The sequence below is a fragment of the Homo sapiens genome, chromosome 6 (assembly GCF_000001405.40).
Source record: "Homo sapiens chromosome 6, GRCh38.p14 Primary Assembly".
Lineage (NCBI taxonomy): Eukaryota > Metazoa > Chordata > Mammalia > Primates > Hominidae > Homo > Homo sapiens.
The window spans coordinates 97,517,616-97,537,094 of NC_000006.12; the positions used below are offsets into that span (position 1 = coordinate 97,517,616).

The 19,479-nt window shown below is 34.7% G+C and overlaps 1 long non-coding RNA gene across 1 annotated transcript in view, besides 1 other annotated feature; it reads left to right on the forward strand.

The window, feature by feature from the left end:
- The window catches only part of LOC101927314 (uncharacterized), a 403,332-nt gene that overhangs the window by 212,030 nt on the left and 171,823 nt on the right, over positions 1 to 19,479 (forward strand). The gene's annotated exons all lie outside the window — the stretch shown is intronic.
- Positions 7,174 to 7,779: an enhancer, noted in NCBI's record as "OCT4-NANOG hESC enhancer chr6:97972665-97973270 (GRCh37/hg19 assembly coordinates)". NCBI's record gives its function as "activates a minimal SCP1, AML or CMV promoter by ChIP-STARR-seq in naive H9 embryonic stem cells {active_cell/tissue: H9 hESC(naive)}" and the evidence as "EXISTENCE:reporter gene assay evidence [ECO:0000049][PMID:30033119]".

A 19,479-nucleotide genomic window follows, 5' to 3' on the forward strand; every position in this document is an offset into this window, starting at 1 on the left:
GCTGCTATAAAGACACATGCACTTGTATGTTTATTGCGGCACTATTCACAATAGCAAAGACTTGGAACCAAGCCAAATGTCCAACAGTGATAGACTGGATTAAGAAAATGTGGCACACATACACCATGGAATACTATGCAGCCATAAAAAATGATGAGTTCCTGTCCTTTGTAGGGACATGGATGAAGCTGGAAACCATCATTCTCAGCAAGCTATCGCAAGGACAAAAAACCAAACACTGCATGTTCTCACTCATAGATGGGAATTGAACAATGAGAACACATGGACACAGGAAGAGGAACATCACACACTGGGGCCTGTTGTGGGGTGGGGGGAGCAGGGAGGGATAGCATTTGGAAATATACCTAATGTTAAATGACGAGTTACTGGGTGCAGCACACCAACGTGGCACATGTATACATATTTAACTAACCTGCACGTTGTGCACATGTACCCTAAAACTTAAAGTATACTAAAAAAAGAAGAAGATATAATAATTGTGTGTGTGTGTGTGTGTATATATATATATATATATATATATATGTTTCTATATATATATATGTTTCCATATATATATATATATATATGGAAACATTGGACTTGAACTACTCTGTATACCAATGGCCTGAGCAGATCATTCTGCTCAACAGCAGCAGAACACCCTTTCATATTAAGACCACAGAGAAAATTCTTCAGGATAAAAGACATCCAGATTGGAAAGAAAGAAGTTAAATTGTTTCTGCGGACCACATGATCCTATGTATAATAAACCCTAAGGACTCCCCACCAAAATTCGTAGAGCTAGTAAGTGATTACAGTAAAGTTGCAAGATACAAAATCAACACATGAGAATGAGTAGTATTTCTGTTCACTGACAACAAACTATTTGAAAAAGAAATAAAGAAAAATCCCATTTACAATAGCTACAAAAATAACATACTTAGGAATAAACTTAACTAAGCCAGTGAAGATCTGTACACTGAAAATTATAAAACATTGATGAAAAACGTTGAATGAGACACAAATAAATGGAAATATATTCAATGTTCATGGATTGGAAGAATTGCTCTTGTTAAAATGTTCATACAACCCCAAATGATCTGCAAATTCAAGGCAATCACTATCGAAAGTCAAAGATACTTTTCACAGAAATAGAAAAAAAACTTCTAAAATTTGTATTGAACTACAAAAGGCCACAAATAGCCAAAGCAATCTTTAGTAAAAAGAACAAAACCAGAGGCATCACACTAACTGATTTCAAAATGTACTACAAAGCTATAGAAATCAAAATAGCATGGTACTAGTACGAAAACAGCACATAGACCAATGGAAGAATTTAGAGAACCTGGAAATAAATCCACAAATCTATTGTTAACAGATCTTCAAAAAAGTGCCAAGAGCACACAATGGGGAAATGAGAATGTCTTCAATAAATGAATACATAGTGCTGTGAGAACTGGGTATCCACATGCAGAAGAATGAAATTGGATTCTTATCTTACAGCATCTAAAAATATCAACTAAAATTGACTAAGGAATTAAACATAAGATCTGAAACTAAAACTAGTTTTTGTTTCCACAAGAAAACAGTGGAAAAACTCCATGATGTTGGTCTGGGCAGATATTTTCTTGGATATAACCCTAAAAACACAGGCAACAAAACAAAGGATTACATAAAACTAAAAATCTTCTGCACAGCTAAGGAAATAATCAACAAATTAAAGAGAAAAACCTACAGAATGAGAGAAAATACTTGCAAACCATACATCTGTTAAGGTGTTAATATACAAAGTATATAAGGAACTCAAGTCAATAGCAAGAAAACAAATATTCAGATTAAAAAATTGACAAAGAACTCGAATAGATATTTCTCAAAAGAAGACATACAAGTGGCCAATAGATGTATGAAAAAATGCTCAGCATCACTAATAATCATGGAAATGCAAATTAAAACCACAATGAGACATCACTCACACCTGTCAGAAAGGCTACTATCAAAAAGATGAAAGATAAACAGTGTCAGCAAGAATGTGGCAAAAAGGGAACCATGCATGCTGTTGGTGGTGGGAATGTAAACTAGTACAGCCTTTCTGGAAAACAGTATTGAGGCTCCTAAAAAATTAAAAATAAAACTACTCTATGATCTAGCAATCCCACTATTGGGTATTTATCCGAAGATTATGAAATAAGTATATTAAAGAGAAATCTGCACTCTAGTGCTCACTGGAACATTATTTACAATAGCCAAGATACAGAATCAAACTTAGTGTTCATTAACTGATGAATGGGTAAAGAAAAGTATTATGTACACACAGTGGAATATTATTCAGCCTTAAAGAGAAGGAAATCCTGTCATTTGCAAAAATGTGGATGAACCTGGAAGATATTATGTTAAGTGAAATAAGCCAAGCACATAAAGATATATCCACACTAACTTATAGGTGGAATGTAAAAAAGTCAACCTCATAGAGACAGAGAGTAAAGTGGTGATTGTTTACTTGAGGCTGGTGAGAGTGGTTGGGGAGCTGTTGGTAAAAGGTCACAAAATTCCACTTAGACAGAGGGAATAATTTCAAGAAATGTATTTTACGTCATGATGACTACAGTTAATAACCATATATTGTATATTTGAAAATTGCTAAGAAGGTAAATTTTAACTGTCCTCACCAAAAAAAAGTGATAAGTATGTAAGGTGATACGTATGTTAATTATCTTGATTTAGCTACTCCACAATGTATATCTATACCAAATCACCATGTTGTATGCATTTGTAATTTGTAAAAATTACAAATATGTGTAATTTTTACTTGTCAATTAAAAACATATTTGATAAAAAGTATTTTTTCTATTTTCCTTCATTGCAGGCAGATTTTCCTTTAGATCATTGATATAATTGTTTGTTTAAACTTGCCTGAAAATTCCAATATCTAGATCATCTCAGAATTGGTCTCACTGCTACTCCCTTCCCTTGAAAATGGATCACATTTTTTTTATTCTTCCTATGTCAAATTAAATTCGATTTTTTTGAATATAATGTTTTTTGAATTTATGGTTTTTTGAATATAATGTTGTGGAGACTCTGAATTCTGTTATATTCCTTAAAAGAATGTTGATTTTTTTTAAAGGAGGCATTTAACTTAGTTCCACTATTAAGAAATTCTGGGTTAAGCAATGATTTCTTAGATATGACACCAAAAGTCTGATTCATACATAACAAAATCAATAAATTTGATTTTAACAAAATTAAAATATTTTGTCCTTCAAAAGTCAAGCCATATTAGAGAAAATATTTGCAAGTTCTATATCTAATAAAGGACTTCTATCAAAAATATATTAAAAAGGTGACAATCCAATTTAAAAAATGGATGTTATTTTATTTGTTTAGTTTTTATTTTTAATTAATTGACAAATTATAATTGTATATATTTATGGGGTATAAAATGATGTTATGTTTTATAATACAATGTGGAATATAAATATTTAAATATACATTGTAATAACAACACAAATATGATTGGCTAACAAGCACATGAAAGATGCTCGATATCGTTAGTCATTACTGAAATGCAAATTAGAACCACAGTGTGATATCATTACACACTTAATAGAAGAGTTGTAACCCAAGACTGAAAATGCCTGGGTTAGTGATGATGTGGAGCAATTGAGACCCTTATACATTGTGGTTGGAAATGGAAAACAGTTAGGCAGTTTATTAAAAAGTCAAAATGACCTTTACCATATGACCCAGCAATTTTACTCCTAGTTAGCCTCTCAGGATAAATGAAAACAGGTTCACACAAACACTTGTATGTAACTGTTTGTACAGGTTGAGCATTCATAATCCAAAAGTCTGAAGTCCAAAATGTTCCAAAATTTTAACTTTTTGAGTGTTGACATGATACTTTAAGGAAATACTAATTTAAGCATTTTAGATTTCAAATTAGGGATGCTGAACCAGTAAATAATGCAAATATTACAAAATCTGAAAAAAATCCTAAGTCCAAAATCCAAAATACTTCTGGGCCCAAGCATTTTATGATAAAGGTTACTCAGCCTGTAGCAGCATTATTCGTAAAGACCTTACACTGAAATAATCCAAATGTGTACCAATTGGTGAATGAATAAATAAAATATGGTATATACATATATTTAAATATAATTCAAAATAAAATGGAATAGACTATTGATACATGCTACATCATAAACAGACCTCACACACATTATGCTAAGTCAAAGTAGCCAGATACAAAGGACTACACCTTATATGATTTTATTTATAAGAAATGTTTAGAAATTTCAAAACTATATAAAGATAAAGGAGATTAATGTTTGCCTGGGGCTAGTGGTGGGAGTGGGGATTGATTGCAAACAAATATAAGGAAACTTTTGAGGTGATGAAACTGTTCTAAAATTGAATATTGATGATAATTCCATGGCGTATAAATTAACTAAAAATTATTAAGCTGTAAATTATGTAAATTACACCTCAATAAAATGAGATATTACTACTACCAGATTTGCTAAATTGAAAAGACTGACTCTACCAAGTGTTGGTGAAAGTACAGATCAGCTATATATCTCATTCATTGCTGTGGGAAGACAAAATGGCAGAAGGACTATAGAAAACAGTTTGGTAATTTCTTATAAAATTGAACATACACTTACATATAGCCCAGAAATTCCACTGCTAGGCATTTACTCAAGAGATATGAACATATATATCAATATAAACATTTATACTCAAATGTTCATAGCAGCTTTATTTATAATGGTCAACAGCTGTAAACAACTTATATGTGAATGGATGGAACAAATTGTGTTATATTCATATAATGAAATACTTCTTGGCAATGAAAATGAGTGAACTACTTATACAGCCAACAGCATGGATGAATCCCAAAAGCTTTACACTGAGTTAAAAAAAGCTGGACACAAAGGATTGCATACTGTATGATTCCATTTATGTGAAATTCTAGAAAAAGAAATATTGTAATAACAGAAAGCAGATCATTGGTTGCCAAGGGTCAGGGTGGGAGGAGTGAATTGATGACAAAGAGACACATGAGACAAAACTTCAGGGTGCAGGGAATGTTCTGGTTCATGATTCTCGTGATGTTTACATGTGTGTATACATTTTTTCAAAACTCATCAAAGTGTCTGTGTAACATGGAGGAGTTTTCTTGTGTATAAATCACATTAAAAGAAAAACGTTAAAAAATAAAAAATACCTTTTAAGGAGATAAATTATAAGAGCAAATTTTTAATGTTTATTAATCTTCCCTGGTTTAAAATTTGATGTAATTTTAAAAATGCCACTTTTATTAATTGTTCCCACTTTTTATTTTCTGTGAAACCTTACTAATGCCAATGACAGTTTTATCAACCTCTGTACTTTTAAGTAGAGAAGAAATATGTATATATGTATACGTGTGTGTGTGTGTGTTTGTGTAGTGTAGATTTGTGTATTTTTTTGAATTATGCTATTCAATTTTTGAAGCAGGAAAATTTAGATGCAAAATGCTTAGTTGTGTTCAAAGAAAGAAAGTGGAGACAGAAGGAATTACGGATGAATAGTATAAACAGTATAAATAAAATAAGGAACCTACGAAGTGGCATATTATTTTAATAACCTATAATAATAAAAAATAAACATTTTCTCAAAAATTGCTGAAAAATTATTAATTAAATTAGGAACCAGAATATTTTGAAGTTCATAAACAATTCTAATTTGTTTAAAAATGCAAGTGATATCAATGACAGTCTTTTTTGACTAACTGGCTTGTTGAAAAGTTAATCAGATATTAAAAGCTGGGTCAAGATTTTATTTTTCTAGACATAGGACTGAGACTGATAATCATGCCAGCCATGAAGTTATTTGGCCAGTGGACTTCTAACTTTGTAGTTAGACGGATGGTGGCTGCTTTATGACCAGGTCAGTTAGTAGAACAAAAATTTACTGGGTTGTGGTACTTTAGTTATGTAGGTAGGGAAACTGCAGTGGGTTCAGCCACTTTATTTGATTCTTCTTGTGAAGTCAGAAGTTGACTGGCCTTGTGTGGAAAAATCAATAAAGCATTTATAAACCTTCATGAAAGAAAAGATTTTTGAAAGGGGGAATATGTTGGTTACATGGAGAGATGACCCTGTGTGAAGGTGGGAAGGGTTAGAGTAAGCGGATTAAGCAGTAGTGACTACAGGGAACACACGCCAGTATTTTTGATTTATGTTAGCGTTCATGTAGTGAGCACTATCTGGAGAATAGCAGTGCTTTTCAAACCCTATTGATGAAGCTCTGCACACACATGGCAGCCTTGGGAAGTTGTTGGAATGTACTGTGCTGAAGGATGGTGCTTGTGTGTAGCTGATGATCCTTTTTTTCTTACGGGATGCCTGATTTAGTCTATATAGTTTGAATGGATGATATTTGGCTCAGCCTTCTTGCTTACATATAAGGTGATCAGTTGCTTTTTCTCTTTAACATTCCTACACAGCCAAATTTATGGTTGTCTAAATTTTAGATTTGAAAGTGCAGTCCCCTTTCTCTCTTGCTCATTGCTTTCACTTCTGCATGGTTATTTTGTGTGGGTCTAGTTGTGATGGACATGTTAGATTACCAAATATATGATACGGCTCATTTATTTTACCTTTGGTTAAAATTTGTTTAATTTTTTAACTGGTCAGCATTTATACCACACTTTTAGTACCCCAAAATTTAAGGACATCAGCTTCAGTGAAAAAAGTTATTATTGGATTTAGAAACATGATACAGTATAAAGGAAGATAGATATACAGAATTTTATGACTGCATGTCTCTCTATTGATGAATGTTTAGCATAATAGAAATTGAGTACATTTTCTTAAAGTACAAACACGTTGGTATGAGACATTGCACAAGTGGATGGGCTTTTAGGCTAAATCTGCCTGTATGCTCCTCAAATCTTTCTGGTTGTATCTTATATAATTTTCACTGCCAAAGCTCCTTTTTAATTTGTAAATGTGAAATGGTTGGATCAAAGTCTTATAAGATTCAAGGATTCTAATCCAATTTGATGTAGAGCAAAACACAATTTAAAATCTAAATAATTCCCAAACTCATGAAGCTGCTTTCTGATCTACTTTCTTTTCCAATCATCACAAAGCAAGACTCCTTCTGTAATTCTCTCTTCCCAACATAGGCATCTTTTCCATGCATCTCTTTGGCAACCTTAAAAAAATTACCCTTGCTCTGGTTCATTTGATTTAGTGGTCTGGAAATTTGAAAATGAGGTTGTCTGTTAAAGGTGACCCCCTGCAGTGGCTTTGGCAGCATGAGGTATTCCGGAGCTGGAACAACAATGGCAGGAAGCCTCTTGAAAGAGCAGCAGTGCTGACATGATTGGGCAGAGCAGCAAAGGCTGATTTCCTCACACCGAAGCTCTCCTGCCCCAGGCGTCTTCCTCTGACTGTCACCCTATTAATGCACAGCAATTGCTAGGCAGTCTCCAAGTCATCACCTTCTGAAAAACAACAGATGGGTTAACTGGCTTGAGGTCACTCAATGAGTCAGGAACAGAGCTGGGGGTTAAGTCCCCGGTCTCCTCATACCCATCCTGGTACATAACCAAATATATCCACTGTAGCTCCATCAGCATTTCTAATGCTTGGGGAACAAGCTCACTAAAACAGCTCTAAATTGATTAAATCAGGTTTATACTCAGTTTCTTTTTCTTTCTTTCTTTCATTAAAAAAAAATCCTGGATTGATCATACACTAGTTACTGTACAAATCTTCAAGGAATGCCTCCTAATTATACTTCTACTTCTCTATGTTGCCTCCTGATATCAAATGATAATCTTCCCACATCTCATCACATTTTTTGTTAAAAATGTAAAATCTGAAATTAAAAGTTACAAGATGTACCCTTGGTTTTAGAAGAGGAGAATTTTTTTTTTAGATGACTGTTCTGATCCCATATGTGAGTTGCCACATTTAAATAGCAGCTACTCTTTGATTATATGTGGGGGGAACGGAAATCACATTTAATTGATATCTACACACAAGAAAGAAAAGTGACTTTAGTTTACAACTTCAAACTACTGAATTTACAACCAAGCTTTTATCTAAAGGCATTTGAAAGATAGCAAAATTAGCCACTAAGTTTAAGTACTTCCCTCCTCAGACTAACTGCCAAAATGAATCAAACGCATGGGATGGTGGGTGGGGAGGAGAACCTAGTAAAAAACAAACAAAAAAACCAACCAACCAACCAAAGAATAAAGCTGAAGTAAGGGTTTAATTAATTTTATAATCAATTTGGAAAGGTGAATAATGGACTTGTGAATGAAAGCTTCTCTCAAATAAGTGATTTGTAATTTTTAGAAAAATTGTTTGTTTTTAGACTAGGACTGTGAATGAAGTTTGAAATTCTTAATAATGTTGTTAACTCTTCACAAGCTCATACACCATTTTAAATACAATTTGGGGTATTTCCTGAACTCTCTTAAAGCCTGTTTAAGAGCCCTAGGTTAAGCAACTGTATACTTAATTAAAGCACCTAGAAAACTATCTAGAATGAAAATTTAAAAATGAAATATTTAAAAATAATATTGGACCCAATCTAAGAGTTTTTAGCTAAGCAATGTACCTCCGCTGTGATTTTTCAAGAAATATGTCATCTTCTAATTGCATAAACTACCAACTTTCACTTTTGAAATCCCCGTTTCTCTTATCCCATTATTCTTTAAAACAGAGCTTTAAAATAATTAGTATTATCATAAAATTAAGCAGAGAAAAGGACTGTGAGAAATTACTTGAAATTTGAATGTAACTCTTGATCATTAGATTAGTAGAAATCTAAACCAGTCTAAAAAGTGAAACTGCTGCTATAAATTTCCAAATTCTACAACTATTCTCAATAGTTAATATATATAGAAGAAATAAATTTTATATTAGAGGAAGGAAATTTTTTATTAGAAGAAGAAAATTTTCTTTATATCTGACTTAAATTCTGTGTACTTCAAATTAATTTTTTTTTCCTCATCACTGGAGGTGATACACAGCTGGTCAACATCTTCTATGTAATGCTGCTCATATTTTAATCAACTAAAATATGTAGATAATGGGTTGTTTTGATTGTGTATTTAGTCTTGATCAGCTTCTAAGAGATTTTGCTGTGATTTAAACTCCTTGAATTTCAGCTTACGAACCAGAGTTTCCCTGGAACAAGCAAAACATTTTAAAATAGCAATTACTCTCGTAATTGCAAATAGCTGAAAGTTCCTAGATTTTTGATGCTCTTATTCTAGGTTTGATTTTCAGTATGTTTTTTGATTGCCTCCCTCAAATTTCTTTGCATTTTCTTGTAGTTCTATATATATTTAAAGCCATGTTTATAGTTTTAAGCTCATCAGGAAAATAAAAAGGAAGTCAGTTGTTGGAAGGAATGGGAAGGAAGCAAAAGAAAAATTCTTTAATCTCTTAAGATGCCATTTCCCCTTCTAAAGAAATTTATTCAAACGAGAGCATTTTGGGGGTCACTTTATGTTTATTTTCAAATGATATATTCCTTGTGGAGTTAAAGGGGCTAAGCTTTTATCACCAAAAATAATCTTTTGTTTTTTCTTTCTCTCCACCCTACCCCTTTGCTCTTTAGAATGACTGGAAGAAGTGTTTCATGTTTTCATATTATCTCTGTTCCTAAGCCATTGATCCTATCAAGCATAATACATAATGCAAAATGTTCCTCAGTGAATAGCATTTCTTCAATATCTTAGTAGGTTCTCAGGATGGCATATGCCCTATTCAGTGTGTTCCTCTCAGTCATTTTCTGTCTCTTAATCATAACTTTATAGATTGATTTCAGGCCCTTAACTACAATTCCCCTTTCTTGAGACAGTTTGTTTTTTAATTCAAGGAGACCTTAAAAATGACTTTATCAAGATATTAATTAAAAACAGGAACTCTCAGAATCATTTTTATTTATATTCTTGTTATTTTAACATTTCATTCTCAGTTGTTGCAGCAGATGAAGCAAGATCAGTCTCACAAACAAACATGATAAACGTAATGCAACAATATTAGAAATCAATAGTGTGTGTTTTATTGTATCCTGTACCTAAAATATACAATAGGGCAACTTACATAAATCATTTATTCCCAGTCATGATTGATAACCTCATAACTCACGAGTGACGGGGCAAAGCAGAGCCCCAAATGAGTTATGAAATGTCATCAATAACAAGTGGAAACAAATGATTTATCCAGTGTCACAGCCCATTGTATGTTCAGTTTATGCAACAGCAGTTAATGATAAAAATACCCCAAATGGGTGCAGCTTGTATTTTATCCGTCCTATATGCATATACTTTTTCTATACTATTTTACACTAGGTTAGTGCTTATTGGCCATGAAGAAAATGATCAAGCTTCAAATAGGAATGTGGGTTGATGGAGAAGATATTGTCTTTATATATGTAAATCCTTTTGGAATCTCTTTACACTTGTTTAGTCCCCTGCCCACCCCACCTTTTTTTCTTTCTTCAATATCTATTCCTTTTCTAGCAAAGAAAACATAAAAAAAGAGTATCTATAGCTATGTAATTCACATTGTTTCTTTTTGGGTTGACATTCTAGGAGAGAGAAGAATTAGCATGATTTTTAAAGTTAAAGGATGTTATTTGACTTTAACACTATTTTTTTCCCCCATGTGTTTTTTTCTGAGTGCAGCTTAGGACCAGGAGTTTTATATTCCCATATTCAAATGCAGTGAGAATTTGACTATTTTTATTTTGCAGTCTCATCCTGTTGACCTCATGTATATTTGGAAGTCCTGCATGTCTCATATAGAAATCTAATTTGCAACATTAAAATATAGTTATATTTTCATTGCAAATTTAGAAATATGTTTCAATGAGGTTAAAAATATTGGTGTTTGCTGGAAGCTTACATTTGAGGTTAATTTGATGAGGTTGACATTCCAGACTCAAAACTGATATTAACTTTTTTCGGGAAAATGTCATTTAAAGAAAATGTGAGGTTTGTTCTTTTGAACTGAAATAAAAGTCTGTCCCTTATGACACCCTCTTAAATATTTATAATATTGACTCATAAGGAACTCCAGAATCTTGTTAGATACCCCTAAATCAAGTGGATTTAAGAGACTATAATATGGGTATCATGCTGTGCTAGTTGTTATGCAAAATTAAGCAGATCTTGTACCTGAAATGAACAATTATACAAAAGGTAAAGGGATGATTAAAGAGTGAGTCTTAGTAGTTATAGAAAATAAATACAGTTTATAGGCATTGTATAAAAGCAAGTGTGTCAGGCTCTACTCCTTTTTGGTTTTCCTAGAGTATAGTTCTACAATGTGTCTGCCTGCTTCTTCAGATATCCATTGTCATCATAGTAGCTTAAGCAAATATCTTTTCTCTCTTAAACTATCTACTGTGAAGCTTCCAAATTTGATTTTTATTTTCTTTTATTTCCAGCAACATATTCTGCATATAGTAGCCCTGAGTGATCTTTTAAAAATGCAACATTCCCTACTACAGATCTTCAATGTCCATGCAGTACATTTAAGGTATATTTAAACCCCTCTAAGTTGAATTATGTATCTCTATAACCTAGTTTCTGTCTGGCTTCATCATGATCCATTTTCCCTTTTACTTTAGTACATGTCTTTATTTTTTTTTTTTTCTTCATTCTCCCAAAGGGACTGAGCTCCTTACTTCCTGGGATCTTCTCCTGTACTATTACCTCTGATTGGAGTTTGTCCTCTTTTGCCTGGCTGTGCACCGCACATCGTTCAGGTCTCTCCTAAAGTGAATTTCTAAGAGAAGTCTTCCCTCAGTTGTCATCTAAATCAGGTCCTGTTGTAAGCTGGGATTATGGGCGCCCGCCACCATGCCCAGCTAATTTTTATTCTACTTTTCCTTCACAATGTCTATCACAATTTCATTGCATATTCTTCTATGCGATTATTTGTTCAATACATGTCTCCCAATCTAGGCTTTAAGCTCCGTAAAGGAAGGAACATAGATCTTATTTATTCCTTTTCCCCAGTATCTAGTACCTGGTACCTAATAAACATTTAATAAGTATTTTTTGAAAAACAGGAGACATTAAGGTTTGAAAATGATACAATAGAGAAAGTTATTCACCTCCTTTGAATAATCCCTCATTTACTAATCACATGAAGACTGCAAAACCCAATGCCATGGAGATTTACTAAAGGATATGAGATATTGTTTTGTTTTTTAATCTTGGAACACTGATACTACATATGAACACTTAAAACTAATTCAAGTATTTATTGAATAGTTATAGGAGGAGGGAAAGCATAGCTAACACTAGAAGTTTTCTTGATATTGGTGAGTTTGAGCCTTAACTTAAAAATGTGAGGAAAATATTAACAATTAGGAATGGAATGGGCATGGTTTCCTATATTGGGTTATACATACAATCATAAGGGCATAAATTAGCAAGTTTTGATGTCTTACCCGAAGGTCTGCTATTCTGGAGTGGAATATTTCTTGATTTGAAAAATCTAAAATTAAAATGCAGGTTTAATCTAAGCTGAGATGCTATAAAAATAGCAATGATAGTGATCACTTACGAGCAATTTACCTTGACACAATTGTCCAATACATTGGAATAAGAAGATGGTATAGGCCAGGTGCGGTGGCTGACGCCTGTAATCCCAGCACTTTGGGAGGCTGAGGTGTGCGGATCACGATGTCAGGAGATCGAGACCATCCTGGCTAACACGGTGAAACCCTGTCTCTACTAAAAATACAAAAAATTAGCTGGGCGTGGTGGCGGGCGCCTATAATCCCAGCTACTCAGGATGCTGAGGCAGGAGAATTGCTTGATCCCAGGAGGTGGAGGTTGCAGTGGGCCAGGATTGCACCACTGCACTCCACACTCCAGCCTGGTGACAGAGTGAGACGCTGTCTCAAAAAAAAAAAAAAAAAAAAAAGGTGGTATAGATACTCCCTGTTGATTTTATTTCCTTGTATCCTGAAAATGGTTACTAATAATAATTGTGATAGATGCAATCGTATACTCTATCAATAAGAGTATAGAAATCAGGGAGATTAATTCTTTGGTCTGTGAGTTAGACTTCACCTAGAGTTCTAATTTAGTCCTACTGCAAGATTACTAAATCATAATCTATGTGAATGGGACCGAGAAATTTATGTTTAAAAAGCAAACTCCTAGACCAGCATTTGGGAAACACAGAACCAAAGCATATCCAAGAACAAATGGGATGGTAAAAGGGCATAAAATTATATCTTAGCAGGAAGGAGTTATAATTCTATTTTAGCATATAAATCTGGAAAAGACATTATAATTGTCATTCCATATTTAAAATCTTGTCAGATAAAATAATATGACTTGATCACTGTCATTCAGAGGGTAAAATCTGGATCAATGGGTAGGAGATTCAGGTGTTATGATTTGGCATCAGCATGAAATTTTACAAATTTTTGGTGTTGTTCGCAGAACGGGTCATATTGGTAATTTCCGAGATCTCTATTACTGGAGATATTTAACTAAAAAATAGGTAACCTCTAAGGGAAGGGCATGTGTCAGACTTCTACAACATTCTTTCTTCCCAAAGGGGGAAGTGGTTGAGTAGATATCAGAGTTTTCAATCATGCGAATGACAGAATATATTTTTAAAAAAATTTTCTCTGTCTTGGCATGTATAATATAGTTAGAAACATGCATATCCTACCTATTTGGTCCTAGAAATTTCCGCCATTAATTACTCTTCCATTTCAAGGGATCGAAGGTTGCCAATCAAATGAAGATATTTTGTGGGAAGATAATATCATAAGCCATTTTCAATTGCCACCTTCAACAGAGATTGCTGAAGGAATATTATGAAGAAAAGCTAATTTGTGAAGGTGATAATGAGAATGGATGGATTTAGAATATGAGCTCTGTCAAGCCAGCATAGGGCTGCCAGAATGGTATCCCGGGTTTGTAGAGGGTGGGGAGTAGGATTAGGGCTCTGAGAACTTCAGAAAGGGCAATATCTTGCGCGACAGGGGAATGGAAAAATACTGAAAGCTAAATTCCTAGGAGTTATTATTTTATTTGGAGTTATTCCTGATCTTTTCTTCATCCATACTCAGTTATTATGGAACTATTTTTATTTCTATGTCTCTTACTCAGACCTCTCTTGTTGAATTCCTTTGAAATGATCCCCTAATTTCACAATAATTGGTGATGAAATTAGGTGATTTCCTTTTGTATTGGGTTGGGAGCTACTGGTGTCCACACAGGTAATAGGATATTTGTATATCAGGACCCAAATATGGGTTTTCCAGACTTTACCTATTAAGCCTGTGATATATTATGAATGTTTGAGATTAGGTGGCTGTTCCTAGGATGTGGACATTTGAGTTAATTATATCTTTCCTGTGGTTGGGCAACTCTGTGTGATGACAGCCTACCAGGGGGAAAAAAGATAATTTCTTGTGAGATCCAGAGAGACACCTTAGGTCTAAACCAATACACAGAGTTTCTAGTCAGAGCAAGAACCTGCCATTGTCTGTTTTCATCTCTCTTCTCTCCACCCAGACTATTCATGTGTAATCTCTATCTTTTAAAGTTATACCTTAGCTTTAATTTTGTTCTTATTTCACCCAAATAAGAGTGTTTGAGGGATAGAAGGAAGAAGAAAGAGAACATACAATGAAATTCTCCATTTTATCCTAGACATGGCTCTGGAGACTGGCTCTTGTACATTAAAGTGATTTAGTGATTGATTGATTTATGACTTTTTTTTTTTTTTTTTTTTTTTTGTGTGAGATGAAGTCTCTGTCTGTTGCCCAGGCTGGAGTGCAGTGGCTCGATCTTGGCTCACTGCAGCAACCTCTGCCTCCCAGGTTCAAGTGATTCTCCTGCCTCAGCCTCCTGAGTAGCTGGGAGTACAGGCATGTGCCCCCATACCCGGCTAATTTTTGTATTTTTGCAGAGATGGGGTTTTGCCATGTTGGCCAGGCTGATCTCAAACTCCTGACCTCAGGTGATCGAGTTTTAAAAGGTTAATTTGATGTGTACTTAGACTTGAGAATGGTTTTCCTAAGTCAAGGATTCAGGGCTGGCTTAGTTAGGTGGTTCTGGTTCAGGGTTTCTCCTGAGATTATAGTCAGGACAGCAGGATCTGTAATCTTGACTGGTACTGGAAAGTCCACTTCCATGATTCAGGCTCACTTACATGGCTGTTGATAGGAAGCCTCAGTTTCTTATTACATGGGCCTCTCCATTGGCTGTTTGGTTTCCTCATGACATGGCAGCTGGCTCCCTCAGGGCAAGTGATCCAAGAGAAAGAAGAAGGCAGAAGCCACAATGTCCTTTATAACCTAACCTTGGATGTGACATTCCACTTGTCATGCAGACGAATCTTGACACAGTGTGGAAGGGTGCTATGCAAAGATGTAAATACCAGGAGGCAGGGGTCACTGGAGACCCTCTTGGAGGATTGTTACCACACATATCATGACTCATATCAATTCTCACCCCATGAATCAGAAAATAATCGATGGGACTTTTCCATCTGTCAAGGATGTCTATTTTCACTATATACCCAGGAAATGGAGAAATAACTACAGGATTAATTTGAAGACACACTGAACTGACTGAGTGCTGGACTTGGGCCAAAATTTCATTTATCATATGAGTACCATGAGCTTAATCTCTGACTAGTGGATCACGGTGGGTTCCCAAGGATTAATTTTAGCCCAGACCCAGTGTTGAAAATCTTCAAAAGTTCTGTGTCTTTCTCTTTCCTCAATGCATTGTCACTGCAGTAAATAGCTACGGATTGTTTGGGGAAGACTGGAAGGTGATCTTTGTAGGTCTTCCACATCTGTACCTGGCTTGTATGAGGCTGTGATTTTCTACTAGGGTGACTGAAGTCAGGCCTTTTTTCACTCTATTTATAAGTTTTCATTATGTGGATCAAATTAGGCTGCCCATTTATTTTAGTTAAAAGTGTTATGAGAAAAGCTTGGGACTGTAATGTCCCCTTCACACTGGGAAGGAACCAAGAGACTAAAGAATGACTTGAACAAGTCAAGTTTGATAAATAGATGAGTTTATTAAGACTTACAGAAAGGGTACTCCTGGATGGCAGCAGGACGGCTTTAGAGATCTGCCCTCACTCCCATCTCCAAACTGCTTTTAAACTAATTTTTTCGCCCCTTGCCTACCGTGTTTAACTGATGAGACTGTTTTTCTTGGTAGGTTCTCAGATACTCTCTGGGATGTTTAGGTTCTCAGGGCACCTTCTCCTTGGCTGGGCACCATGGCCTTGGCTCACTGCCCAGCCTTCAGTGTTGAGACATGCACCCTTAAGAAACATGGTGGGGAACCTGTAACACTACCGTAAGGAGCCTCTGATTAATTAGTTATTGTCAAAGTTCATTCTGATGATTCCTTTAGCTATAATACCTATTATGGTAACATTATTCTCCTTAGCTCTTATAGTTAAGTCTCTGCCACATTTGGATCTCATCATTCTCACTCAAATCAAGGACTCCATTTTGATGGCAACATATGCCACTTTCCTTCCTGACTTCAGAGGATAGCTATGACTATACTTTCTGAGGATGTTGTTCCTCAGGGGGAACTGTTCTGAGGATAAGGTGTTCCTTGTACAATTCATTTGTCAAGGTCTTTGTGAAGGGAATGTGCTTTGGGCCTGGGAGATGTGGCATGTGATAGGTTCACTTCAACATTTCAATTTCCCTAAGTCTTACATTCTCTCTTATGTATAATGCTATACAAAGATGTTTCCAACATCCTCACTAAATGATTTTAGGACTAAATGAGTTTAGGTTTCAGGTAATTAACTGACTACATGATGAAATTTGATACAGGTCTGGAAGAAAATAGGGTGTGGAAGGAGAAGAATTGGCATGTTTTTACAAGGTAATAGCCTCAAATGGGGACATTATCAGGTCTTCATACAAGGTAGAACCAGCCTCATCAGTCAGGCAGAGGATCTCTGTTGACTGGAGAGGTTTGGTAGGATTTGGGGGTGCTATGTACTCAAAAATATGAATGTTCCCAATTGTCACCTTTAAATTCTCAAGGTCCTACTCCTTCCTTGGGAATTTAAGGAAAATTCTTAAACTTTCCTTAAGAATTTAGGAAATTCTTTCCTAATCAAGTTTTTAATTTTCACATAAGAAACATAAGATTTTGTTGTAATTCAGCAACTAAAGGATCAGATTCTTCTTTTAGTTTTTAGTGAATCAGCTCTGTGACAGTAAAGATAAGACATTCTTTTAAGGCAGTCAGAGAAACTCCCTGTTCTTAGATTTTGGCTTAAAAAAAGAATTCATGTTATTTTTCTTCTTGTAATTCTCCGATGCAGTTATAAGTCACTAATCTACCTGATTGTCCTTGCATCCTTTTGCTCATCATACTATGTTTTGGAAACCACCTCATATTTCATTAAAGTTGTATGTTCAGTGGGCACTTCATTCCAGGTGACCATAGGTGGTAATTGAAGTATCTGCTTCTCTATTGGAGGCCATGTTCTACTGATATTCAACCCTTTCTGGAAATCAAATCCTTACTTTTTAAAGCAAACTCAAATGCTCACCTTTGAGCATTGCATCTACAATTATTTCTGATAAGAAATTCTGTATTAGTCAAGGGTTCATTTGCTGATAGCAGAAAACACTTCAGCTATTTTAAGCAAAAAGATATTAAATGCAAGGAGTTAGCTGCTTATGAAATGTTGGAATTCTAGGAGGATTCGGAGCTATACTGGGCCTCCAGGGAGACTCACAGAAGAGTGGCAGAACAGTTCTGCCAGGAAAATCACAGACTCTACTACAATTAAGAGGCTGGGGAATCAACAATCTACCACTAGAACTCTAGACTCCAGAGTCATACCACATCTACTAGTTCTGACCCAGAAAAAATGAATGATTTGTGCATCACAACTTCCCCCCAACTTAGATTAGTACTGAATTCAAGTATCATGCAAATGCGTATAATTGTTAATACCTAAACTATATCTGGAATTCTAGATACAAGGAAATTTAGAACATGTAGTTTCAGCTCTCCAGCCTCTGTAATGAAAAATTTATGTGAAGTACTTATCACAATTATTATGCATTCATAGTAAAATTTCAAAAAATGTTATTTTTATTGTTACTGAGAGAGTATATCATATGTTATTTGAGTGCACTAGACTATTTGGGGTGGACTCACACTTAGCATTCTCCCTATTTATGGTCCTCGCTGGCAGAGATTTTATTTTCATTTGCCTGTTGGCAGGTGTCTTCAGATTTTTGCATCTAGTGCATTTACCTTATGTAATTTTTATGTAGCTTTCCATAGTGAACAGTTGAACAAGAACTAAAGTTCTTACTTCATGGGTTCTTGTAACAAATTGCGTAATTCTTGCACCTCTTCCATTTGTTAAACCTATTTTAGTATTCTGCAGATAACTGGAAGACCATAAGAATATAATGAACAAGAAAAATGCTTTGTGCTTTGAAGTGCTAAGAAGAAGATGCTTATAATATATTCAAAGTATCTTATGTTTGATATTTGTCTCTGGTCAGTCACAACCTTTAGGTACTGCTTGGTTTCATAAAGATTCCCTTGTTTACTATTATTATTAAAGTATGTGAGAGAGCAAACAGTGTCAGGATTCAGAGATACTTAGCTAAGTAATAATGAAAATTCAAATATTGATTGTAAATGCTAAATCCAAACCATAACTCTTATATAGTGGCATAAATATTGACAAAGCTGTACAGATGTGAAAGAAAAAGTAGTTCTAAAAATGTTGACATTTTATAGAAGATTAGGACTGGAAGAGATCTTAAACATCATCTAGTCTAAACTTTTTATTTTGGATACTGAGAACAGAGCTGAAGTAAATTGTCTGGAGTTATAAAGTTGGTTAATTGTCAAGCCAAAAATAGAACTCAGTCTCCTTTGCAGCTGAGTCCAGTCCAGAGTTCTAGCTACTGTAAAAACACTTTTTCCTTTTAATATTCTTAGTATTAATTACCTAGCTGCTCTTTGTCCCCTATTTCTTTCAAAGTACTAAGGAAATAAAAAATGTTCAAATTAATGTCAGTATTAACACATTTCTGATTTTTTTCTGCTATTTAAAATGATGATCTTCGAAAAAAACTTGTACATGTTTGCAGGGGAGTTTGCCCTCCAGTAGTGGTGTATCAACACTTTCTTTTCTAGAGAATTTTTTTTATCGCCCAATAACTCCTTTTTCATGTTCATTGGATTGGAGCAGTGGTGGCATTCGGTGATTAATTAGTTCAAAAAGTGTTAGTTCTCCAAGGATAGCCTGTTAAATACTTTCCAGGCCATTTAAAAAAGAGAAATCTATTGCTCATGTTTACAGGTGGTGGCACACTGAATCTAGATTGGTTATAAGGCACACAATGAATCTGCTACATCTGCAAGTCTCGTTGCTACTCTTGTCTTACAGTAATCCC